This window comes from Homo sapiens, chromosome 21, assembly GCF_000001405.40.
Source record: "Homo sapiens chromosome 21, GRCh38.p14 Primary Assembly".
Classification (NCBI taxonomy): domain Eukaryota; kingdom Metazoa; phylum Chordata; class Mammalia; order Primates; family Hominidae; genus Homo; species Homo sapiens.
In genome coordinates, this window is record NC_000021.9 from 36,729,493 (window position 1) to 36,754,642 (window position 25,150).

Here is a 25,150-nt window from a genome sequence, read left to right on the forward strand (position 1 = left end):
TTTACGACCCAAAGCTTGAGCAGATCTTAACAGAAAGGGAAGCGGGTTAAAGAATGAAAGTGAGGTCAAGTTTTTCAGTTTAATTTACAGCTAACGTCTCCTATCCTAGCAAGGAGGGCCCCCAGCCCCAGCCCTCCCTCTTTCCCCGACCTCACCCGGCCCCCAGGACTGACTGCACCATAGCCTCGCCTGCCTTGGAATCCCTTCATCCCTCTCTCTTTCATCTGTTCTTGAAAATCTATCACCAAGATGGTGAGGACCACCTCCTTCGAGGACATGGTGCCCGGCCCCATTGCCCAAAGCCTGGGAAACCATCGTTGCCACGTGCAGCTTCCACCTACGGCCAGAGCGATCCTGATGCGGGTGATGATGTGGTCTTGGGTACTGAGAGCCACTTTTCTTCAAAGAGCCGAAGTGGGAAATTAATATGCCCAGGGCTCGATGAGAACACAAAGGGGTTGTGTCACATAAGCCCCAGGAAAATGCTTCCATTTCTCTAGAGAGCTTAAGGCTTTCCTTTTAGTCACAATATCTTAGGGCGTTATCCTGTCTTCTGGGGGGTCTGAACCAATCCTCCCCTCATAGGAGCCTAAAGGTCCCCAGTTATTCCGTAATTCCCAATAGTGGGAATCACCCAGCGGCAGCATCCTGAGACCATCTGTGCCAATCAACAGTGTCTAGCGTGCAACAGAGGTTTAAACACTCGCACCCGCAGTAGCCAAGATGTGCAAACAACTGTCCACAGACAGAGGGATGGAGGAACCAAATGTGGTGTCTACATAAAACAGAAACGTATTCAGTCCTAAGAAGGAATGAAGTTCAGACACATGCCTCAGCATGGATAGCCTTGGAAACATCATGCTGAGTGAAAGAAGCCACACACCAAAGGCCACATGGTGTGCCATTGCACGGATATGAACTTTCTCGAAGAGAAAAATTCCTAGAGACAGAAAGTACAAGGGAGGCTACTGGGGGCTGGGCAGGGGACAGTGGGGAGCTGGTGTTTAATGGGGACAGAGTGTTTGGGATCATGGAAAGCTCTGGACAGGGGCAGTGATGCCTGTTACACAACACTGTGAGTGCACCAAATACCACTGAATTGTACACTAGCGCTGGTAACCATGGTGAATTGTATATGTATATTTTACCACAATTTATAAAAAACATTCACACAGGACCGTCCCCCCGAAGCCCTCCAAGAGTGGGTTCTTTCTCACCGTAGCAGCTTTCTCGCAATATCAGTATCAAAGTCCACTTGTAAGCATTCCCCGATAAGCTGAACTTGGAAAAAGGCTACAATTTTAAGCCATTCCAAACATTCTCTTAGCCGGTGGTTTCAGAAGAACATTCCCATTCATGAATAGTGCTACATCCTGCACCGGGCTCGAGTTCAAAGACTTGCTTCTTGTAAAAAAGATCATTCTCAGTTTCCAAAATCAACATTTCCCGCCTGAGCCTTTTAGCACTTGATTAGTTGGCAAAACCAATATTAGTTTAAATGAAAGGCAGTCTGCAGAGTGGCGTAACTCACTGAGCTGCCATGCCCCCACAGGGTGACCGAGGTGACGGGGTACGAGCCGCAGGACCTGATCGAGAAGACCCTATACCATCACGTGCACGGCTGCGACGTGTTCCACCTCCGCTACGCACACCACCTCCGTGAGTAGCACGCCCACCCCAGCCACGGGAGGTAGCTGGTCAGGGAGGAGGCGCTGAGGACAGAGCCGGGGGACGTGTCCCTTTTGTTGGTGCAATAATCATCCATGATACACACTTGAATCTCAAGCCCCAAGTGTGGCTTCCTCCACCCCGTGATTAAGTACGGCTGCCTGTTGTCGGTTCTCAAGCAGCCACGCGCACCCTTTCAGGGAGACTCTAGCAGGTGTAGGATCAGGAAGTTGCCTGGATTCTAGATTGTGGATGTGGAACCTAAACTCTGTGATCTGGACACCATTTGCGAATAACAGCAACAGTGGAAGACTGCTAGTTATGGAGCTCTTACTGCTGTCGGGCACTAAGTTTAAGTGACTAAATACATTACCAGCCCAGTGAGGGAGGGTCTCACTGTCATGATCCTCATTTTACCAGTGAGGATGCTGAGGTCCAGATAGGTTAAGCCGCTTGCCCACCTTCATACAGCTGGATGGTAGCGGAGTTGGAAGCTGAACCCACGCAGAGCCCTGCCTCCGACTGCTATACCCCAGCCAGCTAGGGGAAGCCCAGGGAGGCCACCATTCCACGATGGGAGAGGTCATCTTGGGACGGGGTGAACAAACACCAATTTGATTTGCCAACGGAGGCGGTTTGGGAACATCAGGATATAGAGGCGGATGCTCTAGTCACTGAAATGTTTAAAGAAGTGACACTTTTCTTTTACTTTTTTAAAATCTAAAAAAAAAAATCTTTTTGAGACAGAGTCTTGTTCTGTTGCCCAGGCTGGAGTGCAGTGGCATGAACTTGGCTCACTGCAACCTCCGCCTCCTGGGTTCAAGCAATTCTCCTGCTTCAGCCTCCCAAGTAGCTGGGATTATAGGTGCATGCCACCACGCCTGGCTAATCTTTGTATTTTTAGTAGAGACGGGGTTTCACCATGTTGGCCAGGCTGATCTCGAACTCCTGACCTCAGGTGATCCATTTGTCTCCGCCTCCCAAAGTGCTGGGATTACAGGCATGAGCCACCGCACCCAGCCACACACTTTCAGAATCCAAATGGAGGCAAAGACTAATTTGGATGGAGTGGAATGCCTCATCCTCCTGCTGTCCAGCCCTGCCACGCCCATGGCCAGTCGGGGGTGCTTTATAATGGGGTGCAGACAGTTAGAGGAGCTGGGTCTTCTGCAGTGTGGCCCAGATGGCATGTCCTCTGTTCTTGCTCTGCCTTCTGTTGGCTCAGGGACGTTAGAGGACAGGTTGCCAGTGTCGAGTGGGAGGGGGACGGCAGGCCCGCAGGCCGCTAGGTCCACAGATGCGTGGTGTGCTGGGCTCCGTGTGGACTGGGACCCGGGAACTCGATACTCCCAGGGTGTCGCTGTTGCTCTTCCCTCCCCAAATCTCTATGGACAGAAACCCGTGACAACCAGGACTTATGGCTGAGCAGGCACAGACGGCTTCTTCCTTGCTCCTTGACTCATGTGGAGACTTGGAGGTGTGAACAACCCTTTTGTGTCTTTTGTTAAAGACCAAATCATGATCTCATAACCATCTCTGTCATTCTGGAGACCAAGCTTGGTAGAGAAGCAGCTGCTTAGTGTTCGGATGGAACTTCTCCGTCGGTGTCACTAATATGGGAGCTAGAAAGTTTTCTTGAGCAAACTGGGTATGGTGTGTCAATTCTAGAATCAGATATCCAGGAGACTTGATCAGGCGGGTGTGAAGAGCAGAGTGGAGGGGCTCTGCAGTAGCAAGAGCAGTTGGGAGACGGGAGAGGCATTTGCCTCGAGGGCATAGAGCTGTGCTGTGCCCTAGAACAGTCTGGGACTTGGAGAGTGAAGGTGAGGGCTCATACCTCCACACGCTCCCCCTGCCACTGTTGGGGCGGAGGGGCTGACCAGCTGTTCTAAGGGAAAGCCCCAGCCCTGGGGGGTCTGGAGCCCCCTTCCATGGAGGCAGGAGAATGCTGGGGAGTTTAAAGCATACCCCCGAATTACAGCAAGAGAAGACTTGCTCTTCACAGCGGGCTGAAAGGCAGGAAATTAGGCCTCTAAGCACAGAGACAAAACTGAGGGAATCAAAAATCTCTTTTTTTTTAATGAGATGGAGTCTCGCTCTGTTGCCCAGGCTGGAGTGCAGTGGCATGATCTCAGCTCACTGCAGCCTCTGCCTCCTGGGTTCAAGCAATTCTCGTGTCTCAGCCTCCCAAGTAGCTGGGATTACAGGTGCCCACCACCACGCCTGGCTAATTTTTTTAGTTTTAATACAGACAGGGTTTTGCCATGTTGAGCAGGCTGGTCTTGAACTCCTGACCTCAAGTGGGACTACGGGTGTGAGCCACTGCACCTAGACAAAAGTCTTCTTTTTAAATACCATGTCTTTTATCTCACACTGCCTGGCTAACCCAGGAAGCAGGGATTTTTTTTTTTTTTTTTCAGACAGAGTCTTGCTCTGTCACCCAAGCTGGAGTGCAGTGGTGCGATCTCGGCTCACTGCAAGCTCCTCTTCCCGGGTTCATGCCATTGCCCTGCCTCAGCCTCCCAAGTAGCTGGGACTACAGGCGCCCGCCAGCAAGCCTGGCTAATTTTTTTTGTATTTTTAGTAGAGACGGGGTTTCACCGTGTTAGCCAGGATGGTCTCAATCTCCTGACCTCGTGATCCGCCCGCCTCGGCCTCCCATAGTGCTGGGATTACAGGCGTGAGCCACCATGCCCGGCCCGAAGCAGGGATTTTTTTCCCCATTTGCTTTGGAACAGTCATGAAGCCCACAGTGGTGCTCAGTCAGTGCCTCCTCTGTGTCCATCATGGGTAGATGCTTTCACTTATAGACTCTGACCTGCGGGCAGTTTGGGGAGCTGTGTCCCTCTCGTGCCCTTTTCCCAGGTGATCAGGGTGAGACTCAGGGGACACTTGTCCAAGGGCAGCAGTGGAGCTGGGGCAGGACCAAAGTCCAGCCCATTGGCTGTCGTGCTGTCAGCCGTCACCACCACACCACACCACACCACGGGGCTTAACCTTGGAGATGTGGGCTGGTGGCTGTTCTGTAGGATCCCAGCCCTCCTGAGCTTGCCTGGCTCACCAGACCCACAAGGTGATTTTATTTGAGGGGTCTTCTGTGGTTTATATGATGAAGCCACTTTATCTCACAGGAAGTTTCCAGATATTGAAGTTGTCCAAGGGGACTCTGAAAGGGCAAGCAGGCACAGGCTCAAAAAGGTAGGCGTGTTTAGAAATTAGACGGGGCATGGCTTTCTTTTCCAAATGAGCCAGAATTGGTAATTCAAAGAAAACAGAAAATAGCAAGATTGACAGTGATTGCTACTGTCCTGTGACTCTGACCTTAGCTGTGCTAGAGAAACAACCAGAAAAGACTGCACCCCAGCCAGGCCGGTGGGTTGGTGTGGTCTTGGAGTTCACCATGAGTGTGCCTGCCTCAGTTTCCCCTGGCAGCTTTGAGAGGGAGGGGAAGCAAGGATAGTCTCAGATGATGGGGAGTTCTTTGGTTCCAGCGTGGGAACCACCTGCAGGGCTGAGCAGCAGCCTCCCCTCAGAGCACTCAACTGGAATGTCACACGCCTCTCCAAAGCTAGAACTCTCTGGGAAGACAGTCAACTCCCAAGCAGGGTCTTCAGAGTCGGGGTCTTCATGGTATGGAGCTTTGTGATTGTGGAGGCCTCACTCTCCTTCCCAGGTACAGAACCTGGGCCAGAGGGGCCAACCCCAGGCCTCCTGTTCCTGCCTCTCCATCCCCAGGGCTGGGTGGCACCTGTTTGATTTCCTGAAACTCCAGAAGCTGCCCCAGAGCCTGGAGTTGAAGTGCAATGGTTGATTTGGACAGTGACTAGACATGGCCAGGGGAGGAGTGAGCCAGAGAAGAGAAGGAGCCACAAAGGGTGTTGTCCACTGGCTACAGCCGAGGGAGGCTGGCGCTCAACGCCGGGGATACCCCAGAGCCAGTGTCATCAAGCAGAGGGGAGAGTGAGCTGAGGTATTGATACCCCTGTGCCTGTCAGTCAGTAGCTGGAGGGCAGCTCTCAGGGGGCCTTGATTGCCTGGCTTACCCCCAACATGGTCAGGGTGGGCCCTGCCAAAGAAAGGCCTCAGTGGGGGAGAACAGGTCAGGCCAGTGGATGTGGCTGGGCCAGAGCAAGGCTGATGTCTTCACAGCCTGTCGTCAGCTTCCTCCCTGCTGGGCCTTCATCCAGGCTGTGTTAAGATGTTCTCTGTTCTAACCTTCCACAAGTTTCTCCCTTCCGAGCCCTGTCTGTCATCTTTCCCTTGTCCACAGAGGCCACGCCTCTCTCTGGGGGTCCCTGTTGGCTGACAGGAGCGTCCTTACACCCACACCACTGCTGTGTGAGGGCTGAGGGAAGCCCATCCCCCACACTCTCCAGCTCTGTCTCCACTCCTGGCTTTGTACCAATAGCTGCTGCTCTCCTCTTGGGGACATGTGCCCCACTGCTGCTTGGCCCCACAGAGTCCCAACCAAGGGACCTCAGGTCTGGACGATGCTTTTGTCTTGTGGTGTTTGGGTCCTGATGGGGACTTGGGGACTGTCTTAGTGTCCCAGGCACAATTCAGCCCTCAACTAGGTCATTCCTTAATATGTCCGTATCCTCACTCAAGTTGTGGGGAGAGGCCCTTCCCATATTATAGCTGCAGAGGCCGACTTGGGGAGGACAGGGGAGAAGCTGAGAAGGTGGGAGGCCCCATTTTGAAATGGGACTTGTTAGTCCTGTCACACAGTGCTTTGGTGGCTGACAGCCCGGCTCAGGGCCTGGCTTGAGGGAAGGGCAGTGAGGCCAGACTTCCTATTCAGCCTCCTGCCCTCCCAGGTTCCACCAGGGTCCCCACTGTGGCCACTGCAGACCTGAGACTCAAGTCTTTCAACTCCATCAGCTAGAGCTGGCCCCGTGGCTGCCCGAGGGATGCGGGGACACAGGCAGCCTGCCAGCTTCCCTTCCATCTGCCACAACCGAGTGTAGCTGGAGGTAGCCAGCAGTGACAGCAACCCCCGCCCGGGCCCCTCAGGACTCCTCACAGTGAGATGCCCAGACGCATCTGTCGTGGGCAGTGGGTGAGGTCACCGAGAGCAGGAACAAAGCAGACAGCTGCCAACAGCCAGGACCCGAGTGAGGTCACTGTCCCCTCTTCTGGGGCCTCGCTTTCCCCACACCGGTAGCCAAAAGCCAGGAACCTCTGGGGTCAGTGCCAAGGGCTCTGCAGAGGCCTGATTGGAGGTAAGAGGTGGTGGTCCGGGAGGGCCAGACAGCCCGATGGTTTGCACACGTTCTTCAGAATATTATCTTCACTGGGAGCAAGAGTCCACAGGGGCTGAAGAAATCGCAGCCCCTAAAGAGAAAGAACTCCCAGCCTCCAGAAACTTGAGCTTTGTGAGGAAGAGCAGGGCCAGCAGCACAGGCTTTGGGGAGCACAGGTTTGCAGAGGTCAGGCGAGGGGGCACCTCGGACCAGAGAAGGGGGCATGCGGGCGTCATGTCGGTGTGGTCTGGGTGTCACCAGGTGAGTCTGTGAAGTCAGAGCTGTGCCACAATATTCCCCAGAACTAACTTCCTTCCCTTCCTTCCCTCCTTCCCTTCCCTTTCCTTTCCTCCCTCCCTCCCTTTCTTCTTTCTTTCTTTTCCTTCTTTCTTTTTCTTTCTGTCTTTCCTCCCTCCCTCCCTTTCTTCTTTCTTTCTCTTTCTTTTCTTTCTTTCTTTTTCTTTCTTTCTTTCTTCCTTCCTTTTCTTTTTCTTTCTTTTTCTTTCGTTCTTTCTCTCTCTTTCTTCATTTTTATTTTTTAGAGACAGGGTCTCACTCTGTCACCCAGTCTGGAATACAGTAGCGTGGTCGGAGCTCACTCTAACCTTGAACTTCTGGCCTGAAGTGATCCTCCTGCCTCAGCCTCCTGAGTAGCTGGGACTACAGGCATGTACCACCATACCCAGCGAATTTTTAAATGTTTTTGGTAAAGATGGGGTCTTGCTATGTTGCCCAGGCTGGGCTTAAGCTCCTGTGTTCAAGTGATCCTCCCATCTTGACCTCCCAAAGTGTTGGGATTACAGGCATGAGCCACCATACCCGGCCCCAGAACATTCTGTAAAGAAAAGTGAACACGGGATCATCATAAATGGAACCACTGTGACCCTCCCACCCCACGCCTCACCCACCACCTGAGGTGGCTGATTAAAGGCACCATGCTCCAGCCTGGCCTCAGGAAAGCCGAGCTCTGCCTCCCCGCTTTCTTTGTTTCATGTTTGGGAGACTTTTTCTTGTATGTAGGGGGAGCTGGCAAAGGCTTGTGATCTGTTGACCCAGACCCTCAGGGGGGGCTGAGCACAGCCTGGTCCATAGGTGGAGAAGGGATCAGTGTCAGTAAACCTGACAGTTTGTGTCATGGGACACTGGGCTGTCCATGGTTTGGAAGAACCGTGATGTCCACATGGCTATTCTTCCAAGGTTGTTGAGAATTTCACCCGGCTCTCTAGGTAGGCTCCTGCCCAGAATGGGCCAAGCCCAGACCACAAAGAGAACACAGGCCATGTGCAGCTATTAAAACATTTCAATGTCCACTTTGGGAGGCCAAGGCGGGCGGGTCACTTGGGGTCAGGAGTTTGAGACCAGCCTGGCCAACATGGTGAAACCCCGTCTCTACTAAACAATACAAAACTTAGCCGGGCGTGGTGGCATTCGCCTGTAATCCCAGCTATTCAGGAGTCTGAGGCAGGGAGAATCTCTTGAACCCAGGAGACGGAGGTTGCAGTGAGCCGAGATTGTACCACTGCACTCCAGCCTGGGCAAAAGAGCAAGACCCTGTCTCAAAAAAAAAAAAAAAAAAAAAGCAAAAAAAAAGCAAAAAGAAAAAAGCATGGGGCCATATTCCTAAGGGCTTGAATAGATTTTGAGGTTGAAGAGCTTAGCGAGCACTAGTCCTCTTGAAATCCGTGGATGGATCCTCAGTCTGAGCCTGCTGCATCTCTTGGTTATTTTGGACCATAAACAAATTGGCCAAGTCTCCCTTAAAAGGTGAGCCCACCTCACCCCCATACGTATTATTCAATGTATTACTTTGAAAGTAATAGCAGCCAGATGCGGTGGCTCACGCCTGTAATCCCAGAACTTTGGGAGGCCAAGGCAGGCAGATCATGAGGTCAGGAGTTAGAGACCAGCCTGGCCAACATAGTGAAACCCCGTCTCTACTAAACTACAAAAAATTAGCCGGGTGTGGTCGTGGGTGCCTGTAATCCCAGCTACTCGGGAGGCTGAGGCAGGAGAATCACTTGAACCTGGGAGGCGGAGGTTGCAGTGAGCTGAGCTCATGCCACTGCACTCCAGCCTGGGTGGCAAAGCCAAGACTCCGTCTCCAAAAAAAAAGTAATGGCAAAAATCGCAAGTACTTCTATACCAACCTAATAGCTATAGAGAACTTTCCAGAGGCCGCTGCTCCCTCCTCCCACAGCTGCCACTTTGAGGACACCTGGGCTGGACTCCAGCTGTGCCCTCAAGCTCTGTTGGCCCCGGTTTCCTGGTGCTGCCCACCTCCCACCTCCCACTGTTGTAGTGGGGGTAGAATGAGGCAATCCTGTGAAATGAGCTGGAAGTAGACACCATGTATCTTTTCATTAGAGAAGCAAACCCCCAAAGGAGAAGCATTGTCAGGCTTCTCTCTTTGCCATGGCCTTTGCCTATACCCTTGAGCAGTGATCTGAGTCGGCTGAGATGCAGATGTTAAGCCTGGGCAGAAAAGCGCTGCTCTCTGCATGGTCCGGGAGAGACCCCTCTCCAGCCGGTGGCATGCTCGTTACGCAACACTGCCTCATGTCCCCAGGTTCATCCTGACGGGGTGGTGGGGCTTGATGGAGACTGGATTCCTGCCTCCCAACCCCCACAATCTTCTCTCCCATGTAAAAAACAAAACCATTTCATTCTGGTTAAACCTCCTCCTCGTTGGAAATTTAGAAAGTCAAGGAAAGCTGAAAAGAAGAAAGTGAAAATTATCTGTCATTTTCAGTCAGATAAAAGTTAATATGTATTGAGCCCTTCAGCTGTGTCTGCCAGTGTTCTAAATCCTCAAATAGATCATCTAATCTTTCAACAACCATATGAAGTAAGGACTGATTATCCTTTTTTTATAAATGAGGAAATTGAGTCACAGGGGGGTTGGTAGCTAGTCTAGGATCACACAGTTTGTTGGAGGGGGTAGTGTATGCACGTGCCCACTTTTTCATAATTAGGGTTATACTTTACACATTTCTGAATCTTGTCTTTTCTTCTGTTAACATTGTATCACACATTTCCCATAATATAACAATTTCTTATTAATCATCATTTTAATGGCTGCATAGTTTGCCATAATGTATTTACTCTTTTCCCTACCGTTGAAGAGTTAAGTCTCTCCCCACCCCTTTTCCCTGAATTTTCAGCAATATTGCAATGAAACCCTTTGTAGGTAAGTCTGTGTTTGCACACACAGACCTGCTCACAATTTCCATAGGATCAATTCCTAGAAGTGAGATCAGTGTGTCAGAGGGTGTGAGCTATCAGACTGCTTTCCACCAACTCATCCTTCCATCACACATGAAAATGCCTCTCACTGGGCCAGGCGCCGTGGCTCACACCTGCAATGGCTGCATAGTTTGCCATAATGGCAAACTATGGGAGGGCAAGGTAGGCGGACCACTTGAGGTCAGGAGTTTGAGACCAGCCTGGCCAACCTGGCAAAACTGGGGAGGCTGAGGCAGGAGAATTGCTTGAACCCAGGAGGCAGGTTTCAGTGAGATCATGCCACTGCACTCCAGCCTGAGCAACACAGAGAGACTCTGTCTCAAAAAAAAAAAAAGAGAAAGAAGAGAAGAAAGAAAGAAAGAGAGAAAGAAAGAAAGAAAGAAAGAAAGAAAGAAAGAAAGAAAGAAAGAAAGAGAAAATGCCACTCACCATAGATTAGCCGGTGTCACCTGTTGGCCTTTCATTTTTTTTTTTTTTTAGATAAAATTCACCTTTCTCACCATTTTCAGTGTTTTTTAGTTATATTCACAGTGTTGAACAACTATCACCTTTAATTCCAGAACGTTTTCATCATCCCAAAAGGAGCCTGTCACCCCAGTCCCCCTCGTGCTTCAGCCCCTGGCACCCACTCATTTGTTTTTGGACTCTGTGGATGTGCCTATTCTGGAAGTTTCATGTAAAGGGAATCATACAATGTTTGTTTCTATTTTAATGTCTGTTGATCTGATGGATGGATCTGCCTTTGAGTTAAACAAGGGAGTTGGGCATTTGTTCATCATTTTGCCCATTATATTTATTCTTTGATCTTTGCCTATATTGCTTTTAGGGTCTTTGTGTTTTTATCAATCTGTACGAACCCCCTATATATTAAGGTGAATAACTCCGTGCAGCATTTTCTTTTGCACCAAAATATTTTGATGTGGATGAGAAAGAGCCATCTGCAAGGTGAAAAGGAACCGTAAAGGGCCACAGACAGCCCAGGAGTGTTTGGGCAGAGACTGGGGGCTTTGCCCAGCGGTATGACAGGAAGGCTGAATTTTTGTTGCATATGAGCCTCAAAGGCTGAATTTTTGTTGGAAATGCACCTTGGGGAGTTTCCTTCAGCCCCAGCTGGTACAGTCACAGACTCAGCCCCTTTGGCCACCTCCCCAGATCTCTGCTCAGGCAGCTGCTAGTTAGGTCCAGGGGCCAGTCCTGCCTTGAGAAGCAGGAATGTTCTGGAGCTGAGGACCCAGACATCCAAGGGTGTCTTTCTAGACTTGTGCTATCCTCCTCTTCCCTGGAGAAGCTTCACCTCTCCACTGCCCACCTGCGGGTTCTGGCACTTTCCTCCCCCACCTGCCTCCTGGAAGGCGGTGAGGTGGAATTGTGGTTTATGGGTGCACCGAGCCTTTGGCTGAGCTGCTTAGCGGCCTGGAGTTTGCACCCAAGCATAGAAGACAGGCCCATAGGCCCAATTTTCAGGAACTCTGCAGCCAAGTAGAGGTCTTTCCTACATAAACAACATAGCAAATTAATGGGCCCAAGGAAAACTGGGATTAATGGGAAGAAAATATAAATGGCAACAAACAGTTTCACTGTGAATACCCTCATGTTCCTGAACAGCAAACATCAGCAACAGCTTGACACTTGGTTGAATGCACTTAACTGACTACTTTGTGTAAATAACTACATCACTCACCCCCCCTCCCCATTAAGGATTTGGGGATTAAAACATAATTGTGGCATTTTGAAAACTAAAAAGCAGATTGAATTTTTTCATTCTGCCAGATACAAACTTTGGTGGCTAATGTTTCCCTCAATGAAAGCAATGACTGTTAAATAAGAGTTCTTAATGGGTGGGAACTCCTTGAAGCTGAAGGCAAAATTCCTGTGTGCACATGTATATGCACGCGTGTGTGTGTGTGCACGCACGAGACGCACACAGACATGCACCCTCCAGCGGAGAAAGCCCGCCCCCTTTGTCAAGTTCTCAGAGGTGTCCTTGGGACAGAGGTCACCGTTGGGGGCAGCATCCCAGAGGTGGGGCCTGCGAAGCGTCTGAGGACTCCTGTCACCTTGTGCTTGCAGTGTTGGTGAAGGGCCAGGTCACCACCAAGTACTACCGGCTGCTGTCCAAGCGGGGCGGCTGGGTGTGGGTGCAGAGCTACGCCACCGTGGTGCACAACAGCCGCTCGTCCCGGCCCCACTGCATCGTGAGTGTCAATTATGTACTCACGTAAGTCACACGTATTTGTTTCTCTCCTTGCTCTTTTCTCTTCCCTGTCCCACATCGGATGGCTCCAATAAGCACCATCTCTCTTTCTCTCTTTCTCAAACTGTTCATTTGTCTTCTGTTTTTTTTCTTTTTTTTAATTTTTTTTTTTTAGGAATCTGGTCATTTTGGAAGGTGCAAACTATTTCTATGCTCAGCGGTGAAAGCCAAGTGCTAGGCTGCAGGGGGAGCCAGGAGGAGGGGGCCTGCCCTGGGCATAGCTTCGGATCCCATCACAGAACCTAGTGAGGAGCATGGGGGCGGATGGTGATGCCCCCCATCCTGAATAGGGTGCAAAGAGGGTGCACACCCCCCATCAAGAATATAAACTTGTGCTATCCATGCCTATAAGCCTTTAGGTCATCTTAGATGCTCCTGCTGTTTGAGACAGGAAATATCCCATTTTTTACCTGTCTTCTTATAGAGCCTGTTACAAATTAATCATGGTGAATATTTGGTCCTTTAAACACTCCAGAAGGTCAAGTTCAGTCGCAAATGCCTTTTTTTTTTTGTAAATTAAAAAAAAATATGTTTTTGTAGAGACGGGGTTTTGCTATGTTGCCCAGGAGCTGGTCTCGAACTCCTGGCTTCAAGTGATCCTCCCACCTCGGCCTCCCAAAGTGCTGGAATTACAGGCATGAGCCACGGTGCCCAGCCTGCAAATACTTTTAAGGCCATTAGAAGCAATAGGACAGATGTCTATCTGGGGCCATATATTACTTTCCACCCACCATAGCTATTGTACGTTCAATCACCTTGCTCCAGGCTGTGACCCTTGCCATGCCGCCAGCCCCATGATGAAAAGAGTTCTCGTTTGCACTTTACATGGGGTGAGGATTTAGGCTCTAGGTTTGTTCATAGAATGACTGTGTCTTAGAAGTCAAGTGATTCTGACAAAACTGTCAGGGAGAAAACAGTTTAGCCCTTTAGTTATTCTTCCTGAGCAAATGTGTGGGCTGGTTCTCCAGGTCGACCTCTCCTTGTGTGAACATGACCCTGCTGAGTTGGTTCTTTAGGGCAGAGATGGGCCCCCGATGTGAGAATGCACAAAGCTGGTGGTCAGGCTCCCAGACCTGTGAAGAGTCCCGGACTCTTGCCTCCTGGGGTGCTAACTGGAGAGGCAGCTGGGCCACAGGTGTGCATGTTGGATGCAGGTGGACCTGATCAATGGTATTTCTGCCTGTCTCTTTTTCCCTTGGTGGCTTTCCTCATGGCCCACGACCTCCCCGAGCAATGTGTTTGGGGTTTTATTGGACTGGAGAGAGCTCTGACCTGGCTCAGCATTTCCTGGGGTGGCCCAGCCTGGGGCTGCAGATGGCTTTTATAATGAGGGTGAGCTGGCCTTGTCTCAAATCCCATCCACATCCAATCCCAGTGAAAAGACACACTGGAGCACTGAGAACGCCCTGCCCAAGGGCTGGGGCCAGGGAAGCTGCTCGGCCTCCAGCGCCTGCTGGACATGACTCGGCCCACTCTCGCCTTCCAGGGAGATTGAATACAAGGAACTTCAGCTGTCCCTGGAGCAGGTGTCCACTGCCAAGTCCCAGGACTCCTGGAGGACCGCCTTGTCTACCTCACAAGAAACTAGGAAATTAGTGAAACCCAAAAATACCAAGATGAAGACAAAGCTGAGAACAAACCCTTACCCCCCACAGGTAACACGCATGTCCTGCAGTTTTGGGGTGCTGACATCTATCCTAGGGGTTCGGGACACCTGGACACATTAAGGAATGGGGAGCCTCTCATTGCACAGCAGGGATCTCCCTGCCGTGGAGCAAGGTCCCTCTGGGATGTCTTGCCTACACAGTAGTGACAGCCCGGGGAAGGCCGACATCCCGGTGGGCTAGTCAAGTTTAGGAAACAGAAGACTAAATTGGAAAGGCACTTCAGCCCACTAGAATCCATGGGTTAGATTCTAATGGGCTTGACGGGTTGGAATCCACGGGTTAGATTCTAGACTGGTGGGTTAGAATACCAGTCCATTGTATTTCTGCAGCATTTTAAAAATGAAAGCCCTCCCTCTTTTTAAAAAAGTAGTTTGTGAGCTCTCAGAAATAGCAATTGTCGGTTGGGCGTGGTGGCCCATGCCTGTAATACCAGCACTTTGGGAGGCCGAGGCAGGTGGATCACCTGAGGTCAGGAGTTTGAGTCCAGCCTGGCCAACATGGTGATACTCCATCTCTATTAAAAATACAAAACTTCGCGCCTGTAGTCCCAGCTACTCAGGAGGCTGAGACAGGGAAATCGCTTGAACCCGGGAGGTGGAGGTTGCAGTGAGCTGAGACAGTGCCACTGCACTCCAGCCTGGGTGACAGAGCAAGACTCCATCACTTGTTCTGTGCCAAGTGAACTTTGGTAATGTGGTCATTAGCAGATAGACCAGTTGAACGTCACGGCCTCCACATTATGACAAAAAAAAAAAAAAAAAGAAAGAAGGAAAAGAAAGGAAGGGAGGGAGGGAGGGAAGGAAAGACGGAAGGAAGGAAGGAAGGGAAGGAAGGAAGAAAAGAAAAAAGAAATAAAGAAAGAAAGAAAAACAAAGAAAGAAAGAGAAAGAAGGAAAAAGAGAAAGAAAGAAAGAAAGAAAGAGTCCATGTGTGCCTGATGTCTTGTTAGCTTGGGGTGGGGGATCTCTTTCCACCCTGGGAGCAGGTCACTGGGGTATCGCTCGCTGTGTGCCTGTCCCCAGTGGGACCTTGCAGTGGTGGCGAGGGTAGGGGCAGCCCTTGGATGGGGTTGGGCCCCGTCGGGACGGTTCTTGCAGGGCCGGAAGGCAGCTTCCTGCCGGCCCCTCGCTGGCCCTTCATCCATCTTCTTTGCCATGCAGCAATACAGCTCGTTCCAAATGGACAAACTGGAATGCGGCCAGCTCGGAAACTGGAGAGCCAGTCCCCCTGCAAGCGCTGCTGCTCCTCCAGAACTGCAGCCCCACTCAGAAAGCAGTGACCTTCTGTACACGCCATCCTACAGCCTGCCCTTCTCCTACCATTACGGACACTTCCCTCTGGACTCTCACGTCTTCAGCAGCAAAAAGCCAATGTTGCCGGCCAAGTTCGGGCAGCCCCAAGGATCCCCTTGTGAGGTGGCACGCTTTTTCCTGAGCACACTGCCAGCCAGCGGTGAATGCCAGTGGCATTATGCCAACCCCCTAGTGCCTAGCAGCTCGTCTCCAGCTAAAAATCCTCCAGAGCCACCGGCGAACACTGCTAGGCACAGCCTGGTGCCAAGCTACGAAGGTGGGTCAGGTCTGCTCGTGGGGAAGGTGGGAGGACTGCGCACGGCCGGGAGCCGAAGCAGCCATGGCGGTGGGTGGCAGATGGAGACAGAACCCTCACGCTTTGGGCAAACTTGCCCTCTTTCTGCTTCTAAGTAGGGCTTGCTGTGCTTTCTTGCTCTCAATGCAGGTGCTCCTCGAGAGTGAGAAATGGCAGTCTGCCTGCCTCGGGGACACTAGTGACAGTATAAAGGGCAAAGGAAAACCGAGTATCTGGCCTTCACGTAAATCCTGGCCACATTCACCAACCAAAGGGGGACAGTGATTTTCAAAACCAGCTCCCATGTGCTGAGAACACCCCAGCTGCATTTCTTTTGCAAGATTCCTTTCCACTCCAACCAGAAGTGAATATTTGAGACAAACGGCCTATTGGCTATTTTCCCATGCCAGTTTTGGAAGTGGGGAAAACTATGGTGGAAATTTGTGGGCTTGGGGACAGAAATGCCACTCACCAACCCAGGGCAAAGAACACAAACCCTCCAGGCCTCAGTTTCTTCACCTGTAAAATGGGGTGAAGCTGTGATGTGCCTACTCCCAAGGACACGACACACAGTAGGGACCTGCCCTGTACATGCTAGTTCAACAGAAAGGAATGGCCTTTCACCTTCTCCTGGTGGCAGGCAAGCAGATGTCCTCTGCGGAGATACCGCCAGCTCCCCAGGACGCAGACTGACTCCTGTTTGCTCGCTGGACCAACCCCAGGCAGAAGGTGGAAGGTGGGAACAGAGGTTTAGCTGCAGGACATGTATTCCCATTGCACCGAGACCTAACTGCCGCTCAGAGTGTAGACCGAGATGGTGCAGATGCCTGCAGTGCCACTAAAATGTGGGTGAAGGTGACATCAGGATTATGTGCCCCAGGCCGGGCTCAGTGGCTCACACCTGTAATCCCAGCACTTTGGGAGGCCAAGGTGGGCGGATCACCTGAGGTCAGGAGTTTGCGACAAGCCTGCCAACAAGCTGAAACCCCATCTCCACTAAAAATACAAAAATTAGTTGGGCATGGTGGTGAGCACCTGTAATCCCAGCTACTCTGGAGGCTGAGATAGGAGGATCACTTGAACCCGGGAGGTGGAGGTTGCAGTGAGCTAAGATCACATCACTGCACTCCAGCCTGGGTAACAGAGTGAGACTGTCTCAAAAAAAAAAAAGAAAAAGAAAAAGGATGATGTGCCTCAGAAAAGCAGCACACCAGCCCCTGCTTAAGAAGACAGCTCTTGGAAGTTCCTCCACGCCTCTCTCGAGGCAGGTAGGGCTCTGCTCCTTCTGGGCCTCATCCTGCTTTTTCTGCAAATCCTAGGAATCTCTTGCTCTGTATTGTGACTTGAGGCTGAGATAACATTTCTTCCCAAATCTGAGAAGAGAGATAGATTACGGGAGAATGCCGCCTTTCTGGAAATCACTAGGACATGTTTTTTCAGAAGTAGCTAACTTAGAAAAGACCACATTGGTGACCAGGGCCAGGACCCCTGCCTTTTGACCTGGCCTGTCCCAGGAGCCACGGATCCCTTAGATTTGCATCTGCCATACCCGTGAACATCTTGGGCCCCTCATATAACCAAGGAAGGGATCTCCAGAACATCCAAGCAAAGGAAGACAAAGCAAAGGGTTTTGATAACAGCTGAAAGTATTACCCACTTGAGATTGACTTGAATTTGTGTGTCGGAAGCTGGCTAATGCTGTCACATGGTATTTGACTTTTACCACTATTTTAAAAGTGAAAGAGGTTAACAATCTCCTTATCACACACTTGATAAAAAGTGGACCAAAGGTGCTAATTTGAGGCAATTTGCGATCAGCTTCCTAGTCTTTTTGGTATTAAAGGAAGACAAATTTTGCCATATAGTGTTTAAAAACAAACAAACAAACAAAGACAAAAAAAACCCACAAGCCAGGGAGCTACTTAATGTCAGGCATCGGACTGAGTAGATGGGAGTGGTTATTTTTCATTATGACACGGCGAAACCGATCGGGGTGGTTACCACCCCTCTCCACTAAGGGACGGGCAGAAGAAATCAGAGCAGACGGGGGCCCTCCAACACCAGGGCCCCTGGTGGCCTCTAGACCTCTGCCGTCCAATCAGGTAGCCACCAACCCCGTGTGGTCTTGAACATGGAAATGTGGCCAGTGCAGTGAGGCAGGTGTGACCTGCGCTCTGCATCTCAGGACCAAAAAAAAAAAAAAGAAAATATCCCAATAATTGTTTCACACGGATTCCATTGAGAGAGTATTTTGGATATGCTGCATTAACGTGTATTACTTAACAGGCATTCCACCTGTTTCCCTGCTTTGTAACGCGGCTCCTGGAACATTTCAGGTCGCGTCCTGAGATTGGACAGCACGGCCTAGACTAAGGCGGGGGAGGGCGACAGCGACCCCGCGGGTGCAGCGCGTGGGCGGCCGAGGGGTGGTGGCTGCGCCCGGGGCTTGGGGGTGGGGTGGCTGCGGCCGCGCCCCTTGCTGCCCTCTAACGTGTCGCCTGTCCCCGCAGCGCCCGCCGCCGCCGTGCGCAGGTTCGGCGAGGACACCGCGCCCCCGAGCTTCCCGAGCTGCGGCCACTACCGCGAGGAGCCCGCGCTGGGCCCGGCCAAAGCCGCCCGCCAGGCCGCCCGGGACGGGGCGCGGCTGGCGCTGGCCCGCGCGGCACCCGAGTGCTGCGCGCCCCCGACCCCCGAGGCCCCGGGCGCGCCGGCGCAGCTGCCCTTCGTGCTGCTCAACTACCACCGCGTGCTGGCCCGGCGCGGACCGCTGGGGGGCGCCGCACCCGCCGCCTCCGGCCTGGCCTGCGCTCCCGGCGGCCCCGAGGCGGCGACCGGCGCGCTGCGGCTCCGGCACCCGAGCCCCGCCGCCACCTCCCCGCCCGGCGCGCCCCTGCCGCACTACCTGGGCGCCTCGGTCATCATCACCAACGGGAGGTGACCCGCTGGCCGCCCGCGCCAGGAGCCTGGACCCGGCCTCCCGGGGCTGCGGCGCCACCGAGCCCGGCAAATGCGCACGACCTACATTAATTTATGCAGAGACAGCTGTTTGAATTGGACCCCGCCGCCGACTTGCGGATTTCCACCGCGGAGGCCCCGCGCGCCGGTGCCGAGGGCCGAGGAGCGCCCGGGTCCGGGCAGGTGACCGCCCGCCTCTGTCCTGCGAGGGCCGGTGCGACCCAGTTGCTGGGGGCTTGGTTTCCTCACCTTGAAATCGGGCTTCACGCGTCTTGCCTTGTCCCCAACGTTCCACAACAGTCCCGCTGGGGGATTGAAGCGGTTTCACTCCGCAAATATCCTCCACTTTCAGGAGGGAAAACCCACCCTACCACAGTCCGCTCTTCCAAGTGGACGGCAGACCTGGGAGGGGACGCCTGTGTCACGAGCCCTTTTAGATGCTTAGGTGAAGGCAGAAGTGATGATTGTAAGTCCCATGAATACACAACTCCACTGTCTTTAAAAGTCATTCAAGAGTCTCATTATTTTTGTTTTTATTTAACCCTTTCTTCAATACAAAAAGCCAACAAACCAAGACTAAGGGGGTGACCATGCAATTCCATTTTGTGTCTGTGAACATAGGTGTGCTTCCCAAATACATTAACAAGCTCTTACTTCCCCCTAACCCCTATGAACTCTTGATAACACCAAGAGTAGCACCTTCAGAATATATTGAATAGGCATTAAATGCAAAAATATATATGTAGCCAGACAGTTTATGAGAATGACCCTGTCAAGCTTCATTATTACGTGGCAAAATCCCTCTGGCCCACACAGATCTGTAATTCACTAGGCTCGTGTTTGCTACAAATAGTGCTAATAAAGTTAAATTGCACGTGCAATACGGAACACTGTCAATGGACTGCACCTTGTGAAGGAAAAACATGCTTAAGGGGGTGTAATGAAAATGATGTAGACATTTTAAGCATTTTCTACACAGCGAGAAAACTTCGTAAGAACATGTTACGTGTGCAACAGGTAAACAGAAATCCTTTCATAAAGCACCAGCAGTGTTTAAAAAATGAGCTTCCATTAATTTTTACTTTTTATGGGTTTTGCTTAAAGATCTCAACATGGAAAAATCCTGTCATGGCTCTGAACTGCACAATGCATTGAACCGCCGTCCTTCAATTTTCTTCACACTATCAACACTGCAGCATTTTGCTGCTTTATCAAAATGGTTTATTTTAGGAAACTTTTTCCACCTTTCTGAATGGAAAGAGGTTTTCACAAATGTTTTAAACTCATCGTTCTAAAATCAAGTGCACCTACACCAACTGCTCTCAAAATGTGAACTGACTTTTTTTTTTTTTTTTTTGCCAACCCTGTGTCACTTAGTGAGGACCTGACACAATCCCTACAGGGTGTCTGTCAGTGGGCCTCATGGTAAGAGTCACAATTTGCAAATTTAGGACCGTGGGTCATGCAGCGAAGGGGCTGGATGGTAGGAAGGGATGTGCCCGCCTCTCCACGCACTCAGCTATACCTCATTCACAGCTCCTTGTGAGTGTGTGCACAGGAAATAAGCCGAGGGTATTATTTTTTTATGTTCATGAGTCTTGTAATTAAACCGTGATTCTTGAAAGGTGTAGGTTTGATTACTAGGAGATACCACCGACATTTTTCAATAAAGTACTGCAAAATGCTTTTGTGTCTACCTTGTTATTAACTTTTGGGGCTGTATTTAGTAAAAATAAATCAAGGCTATCGGAGCAGTTCAATAACAAAGGTTACTGTTGAGAAAAAAGACCCTATCATAGATTTACAAGTGACAACGTGGACAGGCGTAACAGAGTGTGTATGTACTTGAAAATGTGTACTAGTGAAAACGTCCTTGTCTAAACAAACTTCGTTTTCATAACCTAGAACATGAAGGAAGATTCTTACACGAGCTGGCTTCAGGACGGCCAGGGCTGAGTGTGAAGTCAGCAGAGCTGTTACTGTGGCAACCTAATATTGTGACCTCCATCTTGAAGAGTCTGCACATTTAAGCTGGGGATAGCGTTTCTTGACTTCTGTGAGGCTCCGGCAGGGGAAGAGGAAGCATTTTAATACATATGCCTCTCTTTTACAAAAAAGAAAAAAAAATCATCGTAGGCCCTAACATGTACCATGTTGACAAAAATGCCAGATCAAATGGATTTGAGAAATAAGCCCAATTCAAGGCTGGCTCAGCCCTCCACGGGGCCTCCCAGGGAAAGGAATTCCTTTATGTTCTTGGAAGCCCTTTTCTAGAAAAGCCATTCCATTCATACCTTTGTAGAGCAGTGGGCTGGGTGTGGAGGGCAGCGCGGAGGGTATCTGCAAGAGCCTGTATTTTCCGCCTCCCTTGCCCCCACTCCTTTTATCCTTTTAAAAGTCCTATCAGCCCTGCCTTCGTCCCTTCCGCCCTAAGCCCTAAGAGTGGGGGAGGTTTAATACGGCCAATGGATCTTGTATAAAGTCTACGTAAGTTTTAATTTACCAGAGCTATAAGATGGTTAAGGTAGACTAGTGGGGACTGCTACAGATAAAATGAGATACAAAGAACATTTGCAAATAAATGCCATAAAATTACAGTAGCTTGGAATTTTAGTGAATCATGGCCCTTGTGTTATCTAGAATGCTAATTATTCAAGCTGTTCCTAAACTTAAGTATGACATATAAGATTAAAATCTTGGGGGGAAAAACTGTTCAGATGAAAAGTCAAGTCAAGAAGTTTCCACAAAAGAAAAGAAAAATCCTAAAAACAATCTAGCTGTTGTTACATTAAATTTATTTCTCACCTCCATTAAAAGGGTTTTTGCTTTGGAGTTTTGTTAACTTTCGTTCTTTGGAGTAATAATATTTCTCTTGTGTATGGCGCTGAATACATTTGTCAATAATACGTCAAAAAAAAAAACACTTGGCTTCTTAATACTTGGAAATACGTACATATTCCTTACTATGTAAAACACTTTATTTATTTTGTAAAAATGTTTAAATATGAATAAAAATACTGTAACCCAAAGTAGTTGCCTACTTTTAAAAATGAAACTTGTAAAAATAAGAGGGAGCCCAAACCACATAGAAAGTCTTAGTTTATTTTGGTAGACTTGCTTTTTATAGGCATTGGTTTAAAGTGATTCTTTTCAGAGACATCCTTTGAGAAGTTAAAATTGCAGAGGCTTACGCTTTCTTTTATTTCAAATATGCATAGTGATTAACCAGGAATAAGGATTCTCCCATGTTCTGCCTGTTAAGAGCAAACAGATCTGGAGAACGGAAGCCCACCCTGCCTCCCTTTTCCATCTGAAGCAGTGCGGGGAGGCTGGCTCCTCTCTTTGTTCCCAGACTCCAGGGCAAGGGGCGACCATGCTGTATATGCTGTGCCTTGGGGGACCCCCAGAGGCTGCGCTCTGTGGCCTGTGCTCCCCCGACCTGTGCACCCGCACCCCAGTCGGCCACTTGCTCTCACATCAGGCAACGTCAGCCTGCTGCAGTGAAACTCAACCACGATTTTCCTTTGCACACAAATCCTTCCTACTTCCACCACTCCCTAGCAGAGTTCCCAGTGCCAGAGAGCACTGCTGGGGTGGGGGTGGGGACAGGAAGCCCAGTTATTGCTGTGTTCTATTTTAGGGGGCACTTCCTCAAGAGTCCCCTTGAAACCCGTTACCAGCCTGGAAGGGAGGATATCTTGCCTTTTACAAAATACGGTCGATACTCAATGCACAGCCTCTAAAACAAGGGCTACTCCAGTGTTCTAAAAGCACACGCCAATCCTGAGTTTAGTGACCACATTTTAAAGATCATCAGGAAAATGCCAAGTTCCCATTAAGACTTTAAAGCTCCTTGAGATCCCAGGTTGCGGGGTGCATAAATGGCCCAAATCGGAGAGTGTGCTATAGCAGGTAGACAGGTTTCGCTAACACGAACAGCTATCAGTAAAATGCCTTTATTCAGCTAATTCTATAGAAGCGGAGTTTTGAGAGTCTTTGGTTCATGTGAGGCAAAATCAGGTTTATGGAAAACGCAGCATCTGCTTCAAGGCTGCTTCATCTCTCTCAGGACAACTGAGTCTCCTGCGTGAGGGAGGAGCGCCTGCTGGAAAGCACAGAGCACAGCAGTATGCCCGGAACATCTCCATAGCCTTTGACAAGGCCACACTTCATTAGTTTTAATTTGCAGAAAGGAAATTAAATGATAACATTTTTTCCCAAAGCAGAGTGTCCAGAATAGGACTTCAGCTTAAAACAAAACATAGCATGTTTTTCATTAAATAACCCCCAAAGAAATTCAAAAAGTGATGATGGCAGCTCTGAGAGAGGGCTTGCCTTATATTACAAAGTCTGAGAAATGAAACCTACATCGTTAGCCTCGAGATCTTTGTCCCTGATGATATTCTGCAGATGCCCTCTCAAGGGTAAGTCCATTTTGTAATTTGGGGATGGTGTGGACTTGTATTTTACTTAAGTTTCTAACTAATTTTGAAAGAAGGCTTGGGCATTTGGAGAAGAGTGGTTTTTTTTGTGTTTTTTGTTTGTTTGTTTTTTGAGAAAAATAATTCTAATTGAAGCCTCATTTCCAAAAATTACTTTTTAAGTTCTTTTAATGTTTCATTTCCAAAAAATATATATTGGGTATTTTTTCATAGGGCTGTCCTGTGCCTGGCTAAAGGTAGACAGACTATACTAAAAACCACAAGTTTCTGGAATTAGCCTGACTGGGTAAGACCTGGATAAAGATGGTGCTAGTTTACAATGAAGGGATTTTGTTCAAAGCTGAAAGCTCCATCAAACTTTCTTTCCACTAATTTCAGCTGGGACTGGAAGAGAGAAAACTGGACAAAAATTGGCCTTTTAAAAAGCTGAAAAGTAATGAGTATGATTCATAAGTTCAACAGAGATAGGAGGGACATGGAAAAGGCATGGCGTACATCTGGGAATAGCGAATGCATATCAAAAGGCTTCATTTCTTTTGTTCTTTCATGAGGCTTGTAGCACATCAAATTTTGAATGTCTTCTTTTAAAGCTATGTGCGCACACACGCACGCACACACATATGCGGGCACACACACACATCCTCCCTCTGAACTGATGGTGTTTAGTATCGATAACATTTTCTTTCTTGGTAATACGAGGTAAATGAGGGGGGCAAAAACTTATGACTTCTGAGTAAAATGCCATGTCTTCTATATTCCGTGAGCTGCACAGTCTTGCAGGAATGCTCCACATTTCAGAGTAAATCTGAAACTGGCTTAAAAGCTCCAAATCCTCCCTTGTATGTGGTATGAGTGTGCCTTCATCTCCAGCTGTCAGAGCCAAATCGCCCACCTCCTCATCCAAGTGATGCCTAATCAGACATTTAAGGATTCTGAACTTGATCCTGTCTCTTCACAATATGTAGTAAATTTAAACTTACTTAAGAAAGTCAGTCCCTAACTAAGGACATTTAAACTTCCTTAGGAAAGGAGAGCTCACTGAATGATGTCAAAGTAATGAACTGATTTCCTCTACAAGGTCACTGCAACCACACCAGCTAGCTCTATCTCTACAGGCATTTAGACTTCGCTATGGGGCCACACCACCGGGTGGACAGTAACTCTTGGAAGTCTGTCTTCCCTTTTCTTCATTAATAAAAACACAGAACAATGACTAAGTGTCCAAGCATGTTCTTACAGTTCAGTACCTCCCCAGATGCTTACAAACAGTGATAGCATACCTCTAACTCACCACTGGCCTGGGCGCAAGAGCATATTTTGGTTTGTTTTTTCATAGACTAGGGGTAAAGGTCTGCACTACTAAGAAAATATCTGAATTTTCCCATTGTCATTTCCATGTAAAAACTCCCCTTGACAATAAACGTAAGTCCAAGCCACAGAGGGGAGAGCAATTTCCCACCTGTGGGAGGGCTTTCCCTAAACTAAATTTTCTACTTCTTAACCATCTATCCCAGAGCCTCTTCAAACACCAAAGAAAACGACAACAAAACAAACCTAAAAACAAACAGAAACACAGAAAAAGAACAAAGACTTAACAAATGAATTGGAGGAAAAGAAAATTCACCTACAACTCTAAATTAGATTTCCAGATGCATGGGCACGGACAGGCAGCCGCGTCTCGGGGACGCCCGGCATTACCGCCGTTTGGGGAGGATGAGGTTTCTCAGCATGTCGAAGGAGTTGCCGTCCGGGTGCACAGTCACAACCTCGCCGCCCTCCTGGTGAACCTGGAGGAAGCCAGAATCGTCCAGGCCAACGATGGACACCTTTGGTCCCTCTGCGCTGCCCAGATGGACTTGCTGACCACTGAAAAGGAAGAACAGCGTGCGGTCACTGGGAGGTGTCACAGGACGACTTAAGACAATGAGCTGAAGAATAATCCATGATGAGAGAGCTGGGCGTGCTGGGGAGAGGGCTGAGGCTCGCTGCAGGGAAAAGGCAGCCTGGGCTGAGCTCTGACTTTCTTCCACCCTGGTGAATGGTTTTAAGAACTGCTCAAATAACCAGCAGGATGCAAGTTCAACAAGGAGT

At 49.6% G+C, this 25,150-nt stretch overlaps 2 protein-coding genes across 19 annotated transcripts in view, besides 3 other annotated features; one reads left to right on the forward strand and one right to left on the reverse strand.

Moving 5' to 3' along the window:
- Positions 1-20,425, forward strand: part of SIM2 (SIM bHLH transcription factor 2) — a 50,803-nt gene extending 30,378 nt beyond the window's left edge. For 3 of the 6 annotated variants that reach the window (NM_005069.6, XM_047440952.1, XM_011529694.2), the window contains 5 exons: positions 1,553-1,659; positions 12,225-12,372; positions 13,895-14,063; positions 15,236-15,644; positions 18,173-20,425. In NM_005069.6, coding sequence (NP_005060.1) covers positions 1,553-1,659; positions 12,225-12,372; positions 13,895-14,063; positions 15,236-15,644; positions 18,173-18,600 — 1,261 coding nt within the window. In that variant the 3' untranslated portion in view covers positions 18,601-20,425. Of the gene's footprint in view, positions 1-1,552; positions 1,660-12,224; positions 12,373-13,894; positions 14,064-15,235; positions 16,833-18,172 lie in introns of those variants that run through there. The other 3 variants (NM_009586.5, XM_017028442.3, XM_047440953.1) reach the window with 3 other exon arrangements.
- Positions 18,284-18,543: a silencer, noted in NCBI's record as "silent region_13289". NCBI's record gives its function as "represses an Ori minimal core promoter by ATAC-STARR-seq in GM12878 lymphoblastoid cells {active_cell/tissue: GM12878}" and the evidence as "EXISTENCE:reporter gene assay evidence [ECO:0000049][PMID:35858748]".
- Positions 19,133-25,150, reverse strand: part of HLCS (holocarboxylase synthetase) — a 241,587-nt gene continuing 235,569 nt past the window's right edge. For 7 of the 13 annotated variants that reach the window (NR_148020.2, NM_001352515.2, NM_000411.8 and 4 more), the window contains one exon: positions 19,134-24,925. Coding sequence is in view for 11 of the 13 variants with exons in the window: in NM_001352515.2 (NP_001339444.1) it covers positions 24,754-24,925 (172 nt within the window). In the remaining 2 variants the exon portion in view is untranslated. Of the gene's footprint in view, positions 24,926-25,150 lie in introns of all 13 variants that reach the window. The other 6 variants (NR_148021.1, XM_024452065.2, NM_001352517.1 and 3 more) reach the window with 1 other exon arrangement.
- Positions 20,193-20,718: an enhancer, noted in NCBI's record as "OCT4-NANOG-H3K27ac hESC enhancer chr21:38121986-38122511 (GRCh37/hg19 assembly coordinates)". NCBI's record gives its function as "activates a minimal SCP1, AML or CMV promoter by ChIP-STARR-seq in primed H9 embryonic stem cells {active_cell/tissue: H9 hESC(primed)}" and the evidence as "EXISTENCE:reporter gene assay evidence [ECO:0000049][PMID:30033119]".
- Positions 20,719-21,243: an enhancer, noted in NCBI's record as "OCT4-NANOG-H3K27ac hESC enhancer chr21:38122512-38123036 (GRCh37/hg19 assembly coordinates)". NCBI's record gives its function as "activates a minimal SCP1, AML or CMV promoter by ChIP-STARR-seq in naive H9 embryonic stem cells {active_cell/tissue: H9 hESC(naive)}" and the evidence as "EXISTENCE:reporter gene assay evidence [ECO:0000049][PMID:30033119]".